This window comes from Homo sapiens, chromosome 19, assembly GCF_000001405.40.
Source record: "Homo sapiens chromosome 19, GRCh38.p14 Primary Assembly".
Taxonomy (NCBI): domain Eukaryota; kingdom Metazoa; phylum Chordata; class Mammalia; order Primates; family Hominidae; genus Homo; species Homo sapiens.
In genome coordinates this window covers 8,142,468-8,160,846 of record NC_000019.10, presented here as the reverse complement: position 1 = coordinate 8,160,846, position 18,379 = coordinate 8,142,468, and the positions used below count along the sequence as shown (strand labels likewise).

Sequence of the window (18,379 nt, the reverse complement as noted above, 5' to 3'; positions counted from 1 at the left end):
AACATCTATTAAAATTAAAAATATAGGCCGGGCACGGTGGCTCACGCCTGTAATCCCAGCACTTTGGGAGGCTGAGGCAGGCAGATCACGAGGTCAAGAGAGCAAGATCATCTTGGCCAACATGATGAAACCCCATCTCCACTAAAAATACAAAAATTAGCTGGGCGTGGTGCCACGCGCCTGTAGTCCCAGCTACTCGGGAGGCTGAGGCAGAGAACTGCTTGAACCTGGGAGGAGGAGGTTGCAGTGAGCCAATATTGCACCACTGCACTCCAGCCTGGTGACAGAGCGAGACTCGGTCTCAAAAAAAAAAAAAAAAAAAAAAAAAAATATATATATATATATATATATATATATATATATAGAGAGAGAGAGAGAGAGAGAGAGAGAGAGAGAGAAAGAGAGAGAGAGAGAGAGATCCTTCACCCAGCAACCTCATTGCTAGAAATCTTTCCCTTGGAAAGAAAATCGTCAGCACGTATGGGCATAGGTATAAAAATTAATTTTTGTAGAGACAGGGCCTCGCTCTAATGCCCAGGCTGGAGTGCAGTGGCGTGATCATGGCTCACTGCAGCCTCAACCTCCCAGGCTCAAGTGATTCTCTCACCTCAGACTTCCAAGTAGTTGGGACTACAGATGCCATCATGTTCGGCTAGTTTTTAAAAATTTTTTTGTAAAGACAGGAGTCTCATTACATTGTCCAGGCTAGTCTTGAACTGGTCTGAAGCGATCCTCCTGCCTTTGGCCTCCGAAAGTGCTGGGATTACAGGTGAGAGCCACTGCACCCAGCCAAAAAATTCTTGTTGCAGCATTTTTTGCTTACTTTTTGGTAGTGGTGGGGAATAAAACCTGTTAACCAAGTGAAAACTCATCAGTGGGGATGTGGTTGAATAAATGAAGGTTCATCCACACCATAGATGATTATCAAGCAATTAAAAAGAATGAATTCAGATTTTAGTAGGTGGTCTAAGAAGTTTCCAGAAAGTCCTGTGAATAAAAAAGTATGTTCAATATGATTCCATATTTATGAAACAATGACCCCATCCTCTCTTTTTGGTCTATGTATTTATGAATATCTACCTTCGTTTAATGAACAAAGAGAACAACCTGGTAGATTGTTAACTTGAAGAATGACCAAAGTAAGAGGAAATAAGAGAAAAAGAGAGGGTAGTTCAACCCCTGATGACTGTTGAAAAAAATAGTAACTTCTTTTTCTAAATCAGTGCTGTCCAATAGAAATATAAATGCAAGGTCAGGCTCAGTGACTCATGTCCATAATCCTAGCACTTTGGGAGGCTGAGGCAGGAGGATCGCTTGGGCCCAGGAGTTTGAGATCAGCTGGGACAACATGATGAAACCTTGTGTTTACAAAACATACAAAAGTTAGCCGGGTGTGGTGGCGGCACTTGTAATCCCACCTACTCGGGAGGCTGAGGTAGGAGGATTGCTTGAGCCTGGGAGGTTGAGGCTGTAGTGAGCCATGATCACACCACTGCATTCCAGCCTGGGCAACAGAACGTGATCTTGCCTAATAAAAAAGAAATAAAATAAAAACTAATGCAACCGACATAGACAATCTTAACTCTTTTAGAACCCACATTTTATTTCATATATATTTACTTATTTATATATATATTTTTGAGACGGAGTCTCACTCTGTTGCCTAGGCTGGAGTGCAGTGGTACGATCTTAGTTCACTGCAACCTCCGCCTCCCAGTTTCAAGCGATTCTCCTGCCTCAGCCTCCCGAATAGCTGGGATTTCAGGTCCCTGCCACTATGCCCAGCTAATTTTTTGTATTTTTAGTAGAGATGGGGTTTCACCATGTTGGCCAGGCTGGTTTCAAACTCCTAACCTCATGATCCGCCCACCTGGGCCTCCCAAAGTGCTGGGATTACAGGCGTAAGCCACCGAGTGGCCTAGAACCCACATTTTAAAAAGTAAAAAGAAACAGATGAAATTTTAATAATATAATTTACTTAGTCCAGTGTACCCAAAATATCAGCATTTCACCCCTGTCATTGCTATTTGAGGCATCTTACATTCTTTCTCTTGTATGAAGTGCTTGCGATTCCGTGTGGATTTCACACTTATATCTCCATAGAACTGGTTCAAATGCTCAAAAGCTCCCTGTGACCAGTGGCCACCTAACAATCTATGGGAAGACTTGAGTGCCCCCTAGTGACAGATTTGATTAACTTCCTCTTGGCAATGAGGTCCTCAAAGGTAAATCAGATGGCGTCGCTCCCTGCCTAGAACCCACCGTGGCTCCCTGCTGCCGCCAGGTCATGTCCACGCTCCTGGTTTTCAAGACTCCTTTCAATCTGAGTCCTGCTCGTCTCTCCACAAGCAACTTCCACTCCTTCCTTCCGGTCATATCAGATTTGCTCACCATTCATTCATTTACTGATCCATCGATTCAGCGTTTATTGAGTGCCAATGAAGGCCCTGGCACATGTGCGTTTTCTGAAGATCAGTGATATTCAGGTTTCTGGGTCTGACAATTTGCACTTAACCAACTTTATTTTTGAGTGTCAGTCTTCTTGTCTGACTTAACTAATGGCACCCTTAAGGTTTCAGAGGGCAGAGTGGAAAGCTGCAAGTGCACCCTTAGCCCGCAAGGATGAGACCAGAGGGAGAGAGGCTGGGCGGGCATTGGGGCCCCAGATAAATGGGTGCAGATGGCAGAACTGGCAGTGGGTGCCAGAGTCCTCTCTTCTCCCAGCAGGGCTAATCCTAATCCAGTTGAAGTCTGACCTCAAAGCCCACCTTGGCATCTCAAAATGCTGGGATTACAGGCTTGAGCCACTGCATCCCGGCCTCTCTTGCTTTCTTTCCCTCCCTCCCTCCCTCCCTTCTTTCCTTCCTTCCTTCCTTCCTTCCTTCCTTCCTTCCTTCCTTCCTTCCTTCCTTCCTTCCTTCCTCTCTTTCTCCTCTCTCTCTCTCTCTTTCTCCATTCTTTTGACAGAGTCTCACTCTGTCGCCCAGGCTGGAGTGCAGTGGCATGATCTCTGCTCACTGCAACCTCCGCCTCCCGGGTTCAAGCAATTCTCTTCTTCAGCCTCCCAAGTAACTGGGATTACAGGTGCCCACCACCACGCCTGGCTAATTTTTTTTGTATTTTTAGTAGAGATGGGGTTTCACCATCTTGGCCAGGCTGGTCTTGAACTCCTGACCTCATGATCCACCTGCCTCAGCCTCCCAAAGTGCTGGGATTACAGACGTGAGCCACTGCGCATCTTCTCTCCTCTCCTCTTTCTTCCTTTTTCTTCTCTCTCTTTCTCTATCTCTCTGTCTTTCTTTTTATTTGAAAGGGTCTTGCTCTGTCTCCCAGTCCGGAGTGCAGTGATGTGATCTCGGATCACTGTAGCCTCTACAGTGACATCTGGGGCTCCCAGACATCTGGGGCTCAAGTGATCTCATCTCAGTCTCCTGAGTAGCTGGGACTACAGACTCATGCCACCAGGCCTGGCTAATCTTTGTGTTGTTTGTAGAGACGGAGCTTGCCATGTTGCCCCAGCTGGTCTCTAACTCTTGCACTCAAGGGATCTGCCTGCCTTGGCCTCCCAAAGTGCTGGGATTACAGGTGTGATCCCCCGCTCCCGGCTCGACATGGAAATATTGCCAAGATGTAATAAGAAGTTAAAAGAGGCTGGGCGTGGTGGCTCACGCCTGTGATCCCACCACTTTCGGAGACCGAGGCAGGCAGATCATGAGGTCAGGAGATAGAGACCATCTTGGCCAACATGGTGAAACCCCGTCTCTATTAAAATACAAAAAAAAAAAAAAAAAATTGCCAGGTGTGGTGGCGTGTGCCTGTAGTCCCAGCTACTTGGGAGGCTGAGGCAGGGGAACTGCTTGAACAGGGGAGGCGGAAGTTGCAGTGAGCCGAGATCGCGCCACTGCACTGCAGCCTGGGTGACAGAGAGAAACTCTGTCACAAAAAAAAAAAAAAAAAAAAGTAAAATAAAATAAAGGGCCACCTAGTGTGTGATTCCATTTACGTGAAACGTCTAGGCCAGGCACGGTGGCTCATGCCTGTAATCCCAGCACTTTGGGAGGTCAAGGCAGATGGATCACTTGAGGCCAAGAGTTCAAGACCAGCCTGGCTAACATGATGAAATCCCGTTTCTACTAAAAATACCAAAAAAAAAAAAAATAGCCAGACGCGGTGCCGTGTGCACCTGTAATCCCTGCTACTCGGAAGGCTGAGGCAGGGAAACATTCGAACCTGGGAGGTGGAGGTTGCAGTAAGCCAAGATCATACTACCGCACTCCAGCCTGGGTGACAGAGGGAGACTTCATCTCAAAATAAAATAAAATAAAATAAAATAAAATAAAATAAAATAAAATAAATACGTGCAATGTCCGGAACAGGCAAATCCACAGAGAATAGAAAGTGGATTAGTGTTTGCCAGGGACTGGGGTATGGGGAATGGGGAGCAACTGCTAATGGGGACAGGATTTCATTCTGGGGTGATGAGTACGTTTTGGAACTAGATAGAGGGGGTGGCTGCACATACTGCGTGTACTGAACGCTACTGAATTGTACACTTGAACATAGTAAGTGCTATGTTGTGTGAAATTGATCTCAGTAAAAGAAAACAGTAAAAAGAAGATGGTAATTGAGAGGGATTGATTTAGTTTGCAAGAAAAAAATATATTTTTTTTACAAAGATGAGAAAAAGCAAATACAGAACAAGATACAAAGGTGCTAACATTTGTGTTTATTAGAAAGAGAAAGAGGCCAGGCACCGTGGCTCACGCCTGTAATCCCAGCACTTTGGGAGGCGGAGGCGGGCAGATCACATGGTCAGGAGTTCGAGACCAGCCTGGCCAATATGGTGAAACCCCGTCTCTACTAAAACTACAAAAATTAGGGTGTGGGGTGGGCGCCTGTACTCCCAGCTACTCAGGAGGCTGAGGCAGGAGAATCGCTTAAACTTGGGAGGTGGAGGTTGCAGTGAGCTGAGAGTGTACCACTGCACTCCAGCCTGGGCGACAGAGCGAGACTCTGTCTGAACAAAAAAAGAAAAAAAAAGAAAGAAAGAAAGAAAGAAAGAAAGAAAGAAAGAGAAAGAGGCCAGGTGTGACGGCTCATGCCTGTAATCTCAGCACTTTGGGAGGATGAGTTGGGAGGATCACTTGATCCCAGAGTTCGAGACCAGCCTGGGCAACATAGTGAGACTCTATCTCTAAAAAAAAAAATTTTTTTAAATTAGACAGGTAGTATGTGCCTGTAGTCCTAGCTACTCTGGAGGCTGAGGTGGGAGGATTGCTTAAGCCCAATTCGAGGCTGCAGTGAGCTGTTATCTTCCCCACTGCACTTTAGCCTGGGTGACAGAGGGAGACCCTGTTTTTTTGTTTGTTTGTTTGTTTTTAATTATTTTTACAAAGAGGAAATAGGGCAAATACAGAACAATGTATAAAGGTGCAAACATGTGTGTTTATTAGAAAGAGAAATAATATATTGTATATGGACCCTAGACAGGTCCCCCAGCTAGAACATCAAGGCAATGGGGTGAGGGTGTGGCTGGGGGCCCAAGGCCACGGGGAAGGTTCCAGCTTTGTGGCCTGGGTTCAGATTTGCCTGTATTCTTTCCTGGTGGTGGGGTCCCAGTGGGCGATGTGGTGGCTCTGTGCCTCAGTTTCCTCATCTGTGTAATGGGATGATATCAGAGCCTGTCTTCAGGGTCTCTTGTGAGGATCCAGCTTGATCTCTTCCTCAGAGCTTTCCTGGGTCCTCTGCGGCTTCCCTCCCCGCTCCAAGCCTCATTCCTGGGCACGTGGCCAAACTCCTGGCGTTGTATGCAATGCTTTGACTCCCAGCTGCTTCCTGTGCTTATACAAAGAGGGCTCTGTCCCCAAGCCACCCTGGCCTAGGCTGGCCCAGCGCACTCCACACACCATAGACTGCAGGCATCTCCCCGTCCCTCCTCCCATCTCCTTGTCCCCAGCCTTGACCCTGTGCTCCTGGGCACACCCTGCCCACTCCTGTCTCCATGCCTTCCTCGAGCTCATGCTAATGAACATCTGGGGTCTGCTGGCTCTGGGTGCACACAGTCAAGTCCCGCCTATGAGGGGGGGCTCCATGGCTGCTCAGAAAGTCAAACGGAGGGTGGGGCTGGCGTGACTCACAGTGACCTTAACGGGATGACAGTGGCAGCAGCGGGGGGGGACAGTTCTGGGGGACATTAATAGTGTGACAATGTGACAGCAACAGGTGACAACGTCACAGGAACTGGGAATGATGGGAAGGCAACAGGTGACAGCAACAGGTGACACTGTAATTTTAAAACCCACTAGGGGCCAGGTGCAGTGGCTCACACCTGTAATCCCAGCACTTTGGGAGGCCAAGGCGGACATATCATGAGGTCAGGAATTCGAGACCAGCCTGACCAACATGGTGAAACCCCATCTCTACTAAAAATACAAAAAAAAAAAAAAAAAAATAGCCGGGTGTGGTGGCACACGCCTGTAATCCCAGCTACTTAGGAGGCTGAGGCAGGAGAATTCCTTGAACCCAGGAGGAGGAGGTTGCAGTGAGCCAAGATCCCACCACTGCACTCCAGCCTGGGTGACAGAGCAAGACTGCATCTCGGGGCGGGGGCGGTCCGGGGAGGACAAAAACCAAAAAAAGAGAACATCCACTAGGGGTCAGGCGCGGTGGCTCACACTTGTAATCCCCACAGTTTGGGACCGAGGCAGGTGGATCACCTGAGGTCTGGAGTTCAAGACCAGACTGGCCAATGTGGTGAAACCCCATCTCTACTAAAAATACAAAATTAGCCAGACGTGGTGGCAGGCACCTGTAATCCCAGCTACTCAGGAGGCTAAAACAGGAGAATCACTTAAACTGGGAGGTGGAGGTTGCAGTGAGCCGAGATGGCACCACTGCACTCCAGCCTGGGAGACAGAGCAAGACTCCATCTAAAAAAAAAAAAAAAAAAAAAAAAAGGAAAAAGAAAAAGAAAAAAAAAAAACTAGATGGTGATGTGTGCCTGTAGTCCCAGCTACTTGGGAGGCTGAGGCAGGAGAATGGCTTGAACCTGGGAGGCGGTTGCAGTGAGCTGAGATTGCACCACTGCACTCCAGCCTGGGCGACAGAGCAAGATTCTGTCAAAAAAACAAAAACAAAAACTTTAAAACACCAGATCCCCATTGGAGCCCCCATGGACCTCATTTTACTGAGGGTGGGGGGAACTGGTGCCAGCATCTCGGATCACTGAGCAGCATCAGGGCTTAGGGTGCCAGATGGTAATGAATGGTGTCTTCCTGGGGCCCGATCTGCATGTGATGTGTGTGAATGTGGTTGGCTGCGGCACCACCACGCTTGGTCACTCTTTCTGCTGAGCCCGGTTGTTGCTGATGCCAGTGAATTGTGATGTTAAGAACCCTGACATTCTGGGTAATGGTATGACCATGAGCCGGGGACTGTGTCACAGCAGAAAGGTGAAGGTGTAAAGGTGACAGGAGACATGCATGTCCCAGGTAGCGGAGCAACCAGAAAAGAGCAGGGTGTCACATGGACAGGTGACAATGAGACAGGGTCATAGGGACAAGTGACTGTAGAATAGGAACATGGTGATGATGATGATATACATACATATTTAGAGACAGGTTCATGATCTGTTATCCAGGCTGGAGTCCAGTGGCAACATCATAGCTCACTGCAGCCTCAAACTCCTGGGTTCAAGCACTCCTCCCACCTCAGCCTCCCAAGTAGCTGGGACTACAGGTACATGCCACCATGCCCAGCTAATTTTTCTATTTTTTTGTAGAGATGGGGTCTTGCTATGTTGCCCAGGCTTGCCTTGAACTCTTGGCCTCAAAGGATCCTCCACCTTGGCTTCCCAAAGTGTTGACATTACAGGCGTGAGGCACAGCGCCTGGCTGATGATGCAGTTTTGACGGAGAGACCATGCATGTGTTTTGTACAGTCCTGGGTGGGGGGACTGTGATATGCGGTAGGATTTAAAGCCTAAATGTCCCTTCTTTTTTTTTTTTTGAGATGGAGTCTCGCTCTGTCGCCTAGGCTAGAGCGCAGTGGCGTGATCTTGGCTCATTGCAGCCTCTGCCTCCCAGGTTCAAGCGATTCTCCTGCCTCAGCCTCCCAAGTACCTGGAACTACAGGTGTGTGCCCCCGTGCCTGGCTAATTTTTTTATTTATTTTTATTTTATTTATTTTTTTTTTGAGATGGAGTCTCGCTCTGTCGCCCATACTGGAGTGCAGTGGCACCATCTCGGCTCACTGCAAGCTCTGCCTCCCGGGTTCACACCATTCTCCTGCCTCAGCCTCCCGAGTAGCTGGAACTGCAGGCGCCCACCACCATGCCCAGCTAATTTTTTGTATTTTTAGTAGAGACGGGGTTTCACCATGTTAGCCAGGATGGTTTTGATCTCCTGAGCTCGTGATCCGCCCGCCTCAGCCTCCCAAAGTGCTGGGATTACAGGTGTGACCCACCGCGCCCAGCAATTTTTTATATTTTTAGTAGAGATGGGGTTTCACTGTGTTAGCCAGGATGGTCTTGATCTCCTGACCTCGTGATATGCCCAACTCGGCCTCCCAAAGCGTTGGGATTACAGGCGTGAGCCACCATGCCCAGCCTAAATGTCCCTTCTTAACAGTGTGATGTAATAAGGGTACAGTGGGGGGTGACACTGTCTGTGATACCACATCAATAACTGGCAATAACATAACAGACCAGGGTGGCACCATGGGAAGTCTGAAACTACAGCACGCGGTGTGGACAGTAGCTTGGGTTGGGGGCTGTGAACAACCAATGCCCACTATCTGCCGTTTTCGAGCACTTCAGTTGCGGTGACTTCCAACAGCTCCACATCCTGGTCTTGCCACACCCTCCGGCTTCCTTCTCCCCTCTCTTCTGGAGGGCAGGTAGGGAGACTTCTAGGACTGAGTCGCTCCCTGGCCCACAGTTCTTCCAGGAAAGCCCTCCTCCAGACTTAGCCATGGCAACAGTGGCTGTGCAGTGTCCCTGGGATGGGACAATCTCTCCCCACCTTTTGCACCTATGCTGGGCTGCTTCTAGGGCACCCGGTGCTTGTCCCCGTGCCCATGTAAGATTCATTTGTTGCAGAACAAATCTGGGTGGACCTTGGCAGAGGAGCCTGGAAAGAGGTGTCCAAGGTGGCCGGGGAAACTGGTTTGTCCACAATAGCCCCTGGGCCCACCCTCCAACAGGAACCCCACCCCCCTGTCTCTGCTGGGCCACCTCCATCCTGGGGTTCCCTCCCCAGTCCACCCTCCCCATGCCCCAGCACCCCACCTGACCCTTCTCACAGGGTCCACGGGCCCCTCCCTTGGCCAGGATGACTGGATCTTGTCCCTGAAGTCGGCGTCTGTCCCATGCTCCCCGAGCCCAGCCCTGGGGCCCTCAATGCTCCCCGGACACAGTCTAAGACCTGGAAGTGGAGCCTTGGGAGAACCTCCCCTTTCTGTGAGTCCACCGTGTCTCCCCTCAGAGGTGGGGGGGGAGCCTGCTGAGGGCTCCTCGGTGCTTCTAGCCTCTTCTTATGTTTCCTGCTTTCCTCTTGCTCCCTCCCCTTCTCCTCTCTCCTAAAGTTCCAACCTCACTCCATCCAGGCATGTTTGTTCTAAGTTCTCTCCTTCTCCAGGCCTTTGCCTGTTCTGTTTCCTCCAGCAAACTCCTATGCAACTGTCAAAACCTACTTCAAAAATCCCCTTCTGGGCCAGACTCGGTGGCTCACGCCTGTAATCTCAGCACTTTGGGAGGCCGAGGCAGGTGGATCACGATGTTAGGAGTTCGAGACCAGCCTGGCCAACATGGTGAATCCCCGTCTCTACTAAAGATACAAAAAATTTACCGGGCATGATGGCACAAGCCCGTAATCCCAGCTACTCGGAAGGCTGAAGCAGGAGAATTGCTTGAACCTGGGAGGTGGAGGTTGTAGTGAGCCAAGATCGTGCCATTGCACTCCAGCCTGGGTGACAGGGCAAGACTTTGTCTCAAAAAACAAACAAAACAAAACATAAACAAAATCCTCTCCCTCCCTGCAAATTGTGAGTTTACCCTATTGAACTCCCAAAGCTGACTTGCTGAATATACTCCCACCATAGCACTTCCGGAATGGAGACAGGGTCTCCAATTTTTGGAGATAGGGTCTTGCTCAGTTGCCCAGGCTGGAGTGCAGTGGCACAATCATAACTCACTGCAGCCTCAACCTCCTAGGCTGAAGCAGTCCTCCTGCCTCAGCCTCCTGAGTAGCTGGGACTATAGATGCATGCCACCAGGCCTGGCTAATTCTTTTTAATTTTTTTTTTTTTTTTTTTTTTAGAGATGGGGTCTCACTATGTTACCCAGGTTAGTCTCGAACTCCTGGTTTCAAGCCCACTGGGCTTACTTATTTATTAGATTCCGGAAGTACTGTGGTGGGGGGATATTCAGCACAATCAGCTTTGGGAGTTCAATAGAGTAAACTCACAATTTGCGGATAGGGAGGGAATTTTTGAACTGGACTTTGACAGATGCGTAGGAGTTTGCTGGATGGAGTAACAGCTTCAGGCCCAACGCACAGCTTCTGACAGATCCCCATGTTAAGGGTCTATTCTCAAAGGTATGAAGGTAGTGGAAAAGCCTAGAAATTTTTGTTTGGAGTACTGACAACAGATAGGGAGCCAAAATTCTTGTCTGGTCCCTTTGGTAGGTGGACAAACAGGTTCAAAGAGATTTGAAAGTTTACACCGTTTGAATTGTTAACCTCTTCATTTTGAGAACCAGATGAAAAACCTGGGCCCTTCTCCCTGGGAAATACAGCTTTGCCCAATGTTTTGTCAACATATTTAGGGGCCCCTGATCTCAGCCTAGTTAAGAATCCAGGCTCCAAGAGCCAGGTGAGTTTCCAACGTCACTCTCGCAATTCTCCTTGCTCGAGGGAGGGGGTGGCGGCTTGGGAGGCCCTGAGAGGGCCGCCCAGGTGAGTCCCGGGACTTCTCTGCCCAGGCTGTCGTCCAGGCCCTCCAAAAGTCAGAGCCCCACCTCCACCTTAGTCTCGATCCGAAAACGCGGCCCCGGCAGCCCCTACTAGGCGCCCCCAGCCCGCCCTCACATCCCTCCAGTCCATCGGAGTTTTTCACTCGGAGCCCCGGACCCTCCCCCGAGCCGCAGCCTCTCTCCCCGCCCCGGATCGGAGCCCCCCGTCCCCGCCCCGGGAGCTAAGAGGTGCAAACGCGCCCTCCTCCAACTCCTCCCGCCCCCAACTCCCCCCCGAGTGGCAGCTCTGGGCTGGGAACGCGGCGGGGTCGGCCTCTCGGCTTTGCGTTCCCGCCCCGGGTCCCCGGCGCCGCAGGAGCCCGCCCTGCAGCGCTGAGTCCCGCGCGTCCGCCTGCCGTGCCCGCCTCCACGCGCGCCGCCTCGCAGGTAGGTGAAGGCGCGGGGCCAGCGGCGGGGCGAGATCGCGGGCGCTGAAGGGTGGAGAAGGCGGGGGCGGGGGGGCCGGCAGGGGGAGGGGGAGAGGATTCCTTTGTTCGCAGCCGGGCAGCCCCGGGCCCAGCCCCCTCCCCTCTCCGCCTTCTAGTGGCGCCCGCCGCAGTGGGGAGTGGGGGCGCGGGGACCCGGCGGGAGGGGCTCGGCCGGGGCGCGGGGCCCCTGACCCCACAGGTGAGGGCGGAGCCAAGCGTGGTCGCGGCCGGGGGCCCTGCCGGGTGGAGATCGCGCCCCGCGGGCTCCGGGGGCGCCCCCTCCCCGTCGGCGAAGCTTGGTATCCCTCGCTGTTTGGCCCTCAGCCTCCACACCCCGTGCCGGGCGCGCCTTCTCTGCTCATTCATTCCACAAACTCCAGGGTGTGGCTCGCAGAAGCAGCGGTGTGTAGGGGGGACCGAGGCAAATCAGGCCAGAGACTCCCCCCACCTAATTCCCCCACCCGACCCGAGGCAGGGGGCTGGGGCGGAGGGAGTGGGGGAGGAGGGCTTGCAAGCCCCGAGGCTGCTTGGAGTCCACGGAGCCTCAGAGTGCGGACTGACCCGGACAACTGAGAAGAAAAAGAGGGCGCCCCTCTCCAGCCAGCCAACCCTCCAACGTTGACAGGGGTCTCTCCCTTCTCCGGGGCCTTTGGACAACCAGGTTGGCCCAGAGAGGGGCGTGGCCAAGACCACACAGCAGGGCTCCCCGCCCATTCTCCACCTAGGGCCGGTTCCTTTCCTCCCTGGAACCTGAATGGAACAGGAAGGCCACTTGGTCTGGCTTCTCTCCCTCAAGTATTTTGCCTCCACCCTCCAAACGGTCGTCTCCTGTCCCGGTCTTCTCCCTCCCGTCCTTCATGGCCCAGGAAAGACCCAGCCAAGGGGGGCAGGAGCGAGTTCCGTTCCTGATCTTCTTCCCCTCCTTCTTCTCTTCGTGGGCTTAAGCTCCGGCTTAGCCCCTCACTCATGGTGTGATGGCCTTAGTTTGTGCATCTGTGAAATGGGCACAGAAGCGGTCCCTTCCCTGCTGGGCACAGGGTTACTCTCTGCATTGGGAAGTTCCAGCCCCTGCCTGGGCCCCCTGCCCAGGGAGGCATCCAGCCCTGACCTGGGAGCAGTGAACAGTCAGAGGAGGCTTCCTGGAGGAGGTGTGATGTTAGAAAAGGGTCTTGCGGCTAAGGGTGCACAGCCCAGGCAAGACCGGCGTGGGATGTGGAGGCGAGGGGACACAGGGCCAGGTGGGGCCAGGCATTGCAGGAGTGGGGGTATCTGTGTCACAGAGGGACAGTGGGGTTGTTGCCTTCCACGACTTACCATCTTCCTCCTACCCTGGACGCTCTCTGGGCTCCACCGTCCCAGCTAGAACTTTGGGAATCTCCTCAATGCCCTCCACCTCCCACGACATGAGCCTCCCATTCCTCTCCTCTCTCTCCCATCTGGACAGCCCCCAGCCTTCTGACACCCTGTTTCCCCCCCGGGACCCTGCTGCCCTTCCCCACACCACCTAACATGCATTTCTGACCTTGCTCCTCCCACTCAAAGCTTTTCAAGGGCTCTTCATTGTCCTTGACGAATGAGCAAAAGCTGCATGACACTGCTATGCCCACTCCTGCAACGCCTGGCCCCACCTGGCCCCACCTGGCCCTCTCTCCCCTCCCTTCCACTTCCCACTCCCGTCTTGCCTTGGCTGTGCACCCTCAGCCCCAAGACCCTTCTCTAACATCACACCTCCTCCAGGAAGCCTCCTCTGACTGTTCACCGCTTCCCGGTTGGGGCTGGATGCCTCCTTGGGCTCCCAGAGGCCCCGGGGCTGCCCCATTTGGCAACCACCCTGCCCTCCTCGTTGTGTTGGGTCCCCCATGGCTAGGGTGGGGGGCTCATCTAGGGCTGACTCTGCTTCCTCTCCGCAGCCTCCAGGGGACACGCCATGACTCTGGAGGGTCTGTATTTGGCAAGGGGCCCCCTGGCCCGGCTCCTGCTGGCCTGGTCGGCCCTGTTGTGCATGGCAGGTGGCCAAGGCCGCTGGGACGGGGCCTTGGAGGCTGCAGGTCCTGGACGTGTGCGGAGGCGGGGCAGCCCAGGCATCTTGCAGGGGTGCGTGGTACCTGGGATGCTGGGAGACCCCTTCGGTGTGGATTGGGCTGTCCTGGGGCCAGCGGAATACCCGGGGGGATGTCCACACGGGCAGGGGCTCACCAGACCCATCTCGCTGTCCCCGAAGGCCGAATGTGTGCGGCTCCCGGTTCCATGCCTACTGCTGTCCAGGCTGGAGGACATTCCCTGGCAGGAGCCAGTGTGTCGTACGTGAGTGCTACCGCCGTCTGGAGGTGGGGGGGCACAGGCCGGGGACACTCTTACCTGCCTGCAGGTTCAGCTCTGTTTACACGGGGACTTAGCCAGGGACCTCTGGCTGAACCACAGGAATGGCCCTTGCATCTGCGTCTGTCCTCAGGGTTCCAGGCCAACCTGCCATGTTCATTTCCTTTGCCCTACAACCTCCTTGTGTCTGTCTGTCTCTCTGGTTCCCTTGCTTTGTCTCTGCCTCTCTCTATTCATCTCTGCTCATGTCTCTCTCTGTTGGTTTCTTTTCTTTATTATTATTATTTTTAGAGATGGGGGTCTCTGTGTTGCTCAGGCTGGTCTCAAACTCTGGCCTCAAGCGATTTTCCCATCTCAGCCTCCCAAAGTGCTAGGATTCCAGGTGTGAGCCACTGCACCTGGCCTCTCTCTGTTGGTTACTGTCTCTCTATCTAACTGATTCTCTCTCTCTCTGTTTCTCTGAGTCTCTCTCTGTTTGTCTCTCTCTGGCCTCACCCTCTCTTTCTGTTTCTGTCTCTGGAATCTGACTCCACTTCCCAGGAGACACCCAACCTCAGTATCCAGGACCCCAGCACCTCCAGCTCTGTCCTCACAGCTCAGCAGCTCTGGCCCAAAGAGCATTCTCTCCCCATGGCTCTAGCAGAGTCCCCAACCCACAGCCTGGGTCACACACCCTGCCCAGCCCAGCCCGAGAGTGGGGGGACATCCCATGAAAACAGGGGTGGGGTGTGCTATGAGCAGAGCCGGGGATGCAGATGACCAGCAGCGTCCACTGAGGTGTTCCGGCCAGCCCGGACACCAATGGAGCAGGGACGGCCCAGGCTCGGTCCTGGTCTTGACTGCCACCCGCTGCACTCATCCAGCCATCTGTAGGCGCGCCTGCGGTGAAGGCTTCTGCTCCCAGCCCAACCTGTGCACCTGTGCGGATGGGACGCTGGCTCCCAGCTGCGGGGTGAGCCGAGGTGAGCGGGAAGCGGCCTCTTGCGGGAGGGAGAAGAAGTTCACAGGGTTCTGGTTGCCACGAGGAGCCTGGGCTGCTTTTGTTGAAGGACAGGAGCGGGGCTGAGCATGCCTAGTCCTGCAGCCTTCCTAGGAGGGCATCTCGGGGCCCATCTCCACATTACTATGCGTCCTGCCTTCCTGTCCCCAGGGTCAGGGTGCAGTGTGAGCTGTATGAATGGGGGCACCTGCCGGGGGGCGTCCTGTCTGTGTCAGAAGGGCTACACAGGCACCGTGTGTGGGCAGCGTGAGTATCCCCATGGGACTCCCCTCTTTGCACACCTGGGACTGTGATCCCAGAGTATTAGTCTCTGCTGCCACCTGCCCACTGCCCAGGGTTCCTTCTTCCTGGACTGGAGATTGCAGGGGACGTTTATTGCCACAGTCTCTTTTTTTTTTTTTTTTTTTTGAGACAGAGTCTCGCTGTGTCACTCAGGCTGGAGTGCAGTGGCAAGATCTCGGCTTACTGCAAGCTCCGCCTCCCAGGTTCACGCCATTCTCCTGCCTCAGCCTCCCGAGTAGCTGGGACTACAGGTGCCCGCCACCTTGCCTGACTAATTTTTTTGTATTTTTAGTAGAGATGGGGTTTCACTGTGTTAGCCAGGATGGTCTTGATCTCCTGACCTCGTGATCCGCCCGCCTCAGCCTCCCAAAGTGCTGGGATTACAGGCGTGAGCTACCGTGCCCGGCCCTTTTTTTTTTTTTTTTTTTTTTTTGAGATGGAGTTTTGCTCTGTTGCCCAGGCTGGAATGCAGTGGCACCATCTCAGCTCACTGCAACCTCCGCCTCCCAGGTTTGAACAATTCTTCTGTGTCAGCCTCCTGAGTAGCTGGGATTAAAAGAGCCGGCCACCATGCCTGGCTAATTTTTGTATTTTTAGTAAAGATGGGGTTTCACTATATTGGACAGGCTGGTCTCGAACCCCTGACCTCAGGTGATCCACCTGCCTTGGCCTCCCAAAGCGCTCGGATTACAGGCGCTAGCCACTCAGCTCAGCCTCAGTCTTATTCAACCTGGGCCAGATCCTGGGGATTCCTGGGTGAAGACAGGCTTGCTGTGAACCCCAGCTCTCTCTGCTGCTGGGGGACCTCCAGCCATCACCCTCTCTCCTCCACAGCCATCTGTGACCGCGGCTGCCACAATGGGGGTCGCTGCATTGGGCCCAACCGCTGCGCCTGTGTGTATGGCTTCATGGGACCTCAATGTGAGAGAGGTACCAAGCATGCGCGGGTGGGAGGTAGACAGGGGACTCGATGGAGGAAAGGGGGTTTCCTGGAAGTCCCTGAGACATGGCCAGGCCTTGAAAGGAACCAGCTGGCCTCCTTCCCGCATTTGGGGCAGTCTGAGGACATTTCTTTCATTTGCTCATCTGTTCTCCAAAACATCTGCTATTCACTGGCTCTGAGCGAGCACCTGTGTTGGAGTCTGGTAGGAAAGAGAGAGGATGTGCCAGTCTGAGGGGCAGGGAGAAGAAACTGCAAGCAGAAGATTCTTATCTGGGGGTGTCAAGGCTAAGACAAGGGTTGGGGCAGCCCTGGAGCATGTGAAGGACAGAGAAACCATCTGCTCCATGGAAGGGAGTCAGGGAGGGCTTCCTGGAGGAGGGGACCCCTCAGCTGGATCTGGTAGGGTGGACTGGACTTCATGAGATGGGCAAACCCCCTCTTTATTGCACCCTAATTCTCTCTTTTTTTTTTGAGACAAAGTTTTGCTCTTTCGGGCTAGAGTGCAGTGATATGATCTCGGCTCACTGCAACCTCTGCCTCCCAGGTTCAACCAATCCTCCCGCTTCAGCCTCCCGAGTAGCTGGGATTACAGGCATCCCCACGCTCAGCTAATTTTTGTAATTTTAGTAGAGATGAGGTTTTGCCATGTTGGCCAGGCTGGCCTCGAACTCCTGGCCTCAAGTGATCTGCCTGTCTCAGCCTCCCAAAATGAGCCACCACACCCAGTCACCCTAACTCTTAAAAATGATCCCATTTTTAAGACGGCTAAGATAGGTGGGGTCACCTGCTGAGAGGTTGTTACCAAAATTAAGAGGGTGGATGTACCAGGAGTTTGAGATCAACCTGGGTAGCATAGTGAGACACCCCCCCTCTCTAAAAAAAGTAAAAAATTAGCCTGGCATGGTGGTGCATATCTGTAGTCTCAGGCTGAAGTGGGAGGATTGCATGAGCCCAGGAGTTCAAGGCTGCAGTGAGCCGTGGTGGTGCCACTGCATTCCAGCCTGGGTGACAGAACCAGACCCTCTGTCTCTTAAAAAAAAAAAAGAAAGAAAGAAAGAAAGAAAGAAAAGAGGCCAGGCACTGTGGCTCATGCCTGCAATTCTAGCATTTTGGGAGGCCGAGGCGGGCAGATCACTCGAGGCCAGGAGTTTGAGACCAGCCATGGCCAACATGGCAAAAGCCATCTCTACTAAAAATACACAAAAAAATGTAACTGGGTGTGGTAGCGCGTGCCTGTAGTCCCAGCTACTTGGAAGGCTGAGGCATGAGAATTTTTTGAACCTGGGAGGCAGTGAGCCAAGATCGCACCACTGTACTCCAGCCTGGAAGACAGAGCGAAACCCTGTCTCAAAAAAAAAAAAAAAAAGAAAAGAAAAGAAAAAAGGAGAACGGACACAGTGATGTCTTTCTTGTGAGCAGTGAGGTGTGGCAGGGACGGGGAGAGAAGAAGGAGGGAGTCAGGATGAACCCAAGACCTGGTGAAAACTGGAGGGAAGGTAGTGGCGCACCCTGGCAGGGAGGAGGAGGACTCTGAGCTCAGTGTTGGCCGAGGGACTTGCAAGTTGTCTGGGAAGCAGCTGGACACTCAGGCCTGGGGCTGAGATGGCGGCGTGGGCTGCCCCATCCATGGGGACTGAAGCCCAGGGTGCCGCTGAGGATCCCCGTGAGAGAAGGAAGGGCCAGCAGAGACAGCCACCTGGGCATTTAAGCCTGGACAGAAAAAACCGAGCCCACAGGAGGCTGAGAAAGAGAAAGAGAACCGGAGTGGGTGGCGTCAGGGACATCCAGGCTTGTGAGATTTTCAGATGCAGAGGCATCTGGGTGCCTAATGTGGTGTTTCAGCCCAGGAAGGTGAGGATGGGCACGACCCGGGGACTAGAAGCTGGAGGGGCTGGGGAAGTGACCTGGGTTTGAGGGTGGGCTTCTGGAAACTGCAGAATTAGAACATGGGCTTGTTGGAGGCGGGCCAAGCTCTGGGTGGCAGAAGAGTGAGGGGGAGGGGGAGTGGGGGAGCTGCCAGGAATTACGTTTTGGCTTGGGGCATCAGGACAGCTGGGGGGTGGGGGTCTCTGTGAAGCCCCTCCTCCTTACGGGGCCTGAGTTGGGGGTGAGTTTGGCTTCTTCTCTTGGGAGCGGCTGCCCTTGTTTGAGAGCTAACTCCTTTATTGGAAACATCTGGGAGAAGAGAGCCAAGAAGTCACATCTGGGCTCATGTACTGGGGTTGGGGGAACCAATGCGGTCACCTTGGGCTGGGCCTGATGGGGATTGGGGATGTGATGTTGGGGGTCCAGAGAATTTAGGCAGATAACAGATCCTTCCCCAAATCTGGGCGATATGGCAGGGCCAGGCGTGTGCTCAAGGACTAGACATGCTTTTTAGCTGGGCATCCGTGGGT

General features: G+C 53.2%; 1 protein-coding gene across 8 annotated transcripts in view, besides 6 other annotated features; it reads left to right on the top strand.

The window, feature by feature from the left end:
• Positions 1,988-2,282: a silencer, noted in NCBI's record as "tiled region #3488; HepG2 Repressive DNase matched - State 12:CtcfO". NCBI's record gives its function as "represses a minimal TATA promoter and a strong SV40 promoter by Sharpr-MPRA in HepG2 cells {active_cell/tissue: HepG2}" and the evidence as "EXISTENCE:reporter gene assay evidence [ECO:0000049][PMID:27701403]".
• Positions 6,538-6,587: a silencer, noted in NCBI's record as "silent region_10012". NCBI's record gives its function as "represses an Ori minimal core promoter by ATAC-STARR-seq in GM12878 lymphoblastoid cells {active_cell/tissue: GM12878}" and the evidence as "EXISTENCE:reporter gene assay evidence [ECO:0000049][PMID:35858748]".
• Positions 6,708-6,757: a silencer, noted in NCBI's record as "silent region_10011". NCBI's record gives its function as "represses an Ori minimal core promoter by ATAC-STARR-seq in GM12878 lymphoblastoid cells {active_cell/tissue: GM12878}" and the evidence as "EXISTENCE:reporter gene assay evidence [ECO:0000049][PMID:35858748]".
• Positions 11,255-18,379, top strand: part of FBN3 (fibrillin 3) — an 84,191-nt gene continuing 77,066 nt past the window's right edge. For 5 of the 8 annotated variants that reach the window (XM_017027375.3, XM_017027376.2, XM_017027373.2 and 2 more), the window contains exons 1-6: positions 11,978-12,100; positions 13,350-13,533; positions 13,661-13,743; positions 14,622-14,720; positions 14,909-15,004; positions 15,875-15,970. In XM_017027375.3, the coding sequence (XP_016882864.1) occupies positions 13,367-13,533; positions 13,661-13,743; positions 14,622-14,720; positions 14,909-15,004; positions 15,875-15,970 (541 nt within the window). In that variant the 5' untranslated portion in view covers positions 11,978-12,100; positions 13,350-13,366. Of the gene's footprint in view, positions 11,399-11,724; positions 11,842-11,977; positions 12,101-13,349; positions 13,534-13,660; positions 13,744-14,621; positions 14,721-14,908; positions 15,005-15,874; positions 15,971-18,379 lie in introns of those variants that run through there. The other 3 variants (NM_032447.5, XM_017027372.2, XM_017027374.3) reach the window with 3 other exon arrangements.
• Positions 12,098-13,068: an enhancer, noted in NCBI's record as "H3K27ac-H3K4me1 hESC enhancer chr19:8212663-8213633 (GRCh37/hg19 assembly coordinates)". NCBI's record gives its function as "activates a minimal SCP1, AML or CMV promoter by ChIP-STARR-seq in naive H9 embryonic stem cells {active_cell/tissue: H9 hESC(naive)}" and the evidence as "EXISTENCE:reporter gene assay evidence [ECO:0000049][PMID:30033119]".
• Positions 13,069-14,040: an enhancer, noted in NCBI's record as "H3K27ac-H3K4me1 hESC enhancer chr19:8211691-8212662 (GRCh37/hg19 assembly coordinates)". NCBI's record gives its function as "activates a minimal SCP1, AML or CMV promoter by ChIP-STARR-seq in naive H9 embryonic stem cells {active_cell/tissue: H9 hESC(naive)}" and the evidence as "EXISTENCE:reporter gene assay evidence [ECO:0000049][PMID:30033119]".
• Positions 17,086-17,630: an enhancer, noted in NCBI's record as "H3K4me1 hESC enhancer chr19:8208101-8208645 (GRCh37/hg19 assembly coordinates)". NCBI's record gives its function as "activates a minimal SCP1, AML or CMV promoter by ChIP-STARR-seq in primed H9 embryonic stem cells {active_cell/tissue: H9 hESC(primed)}" and the evidence as "EXISTENCE:reporter gene assay evidence [ECO:0000049][PMID:30033119]".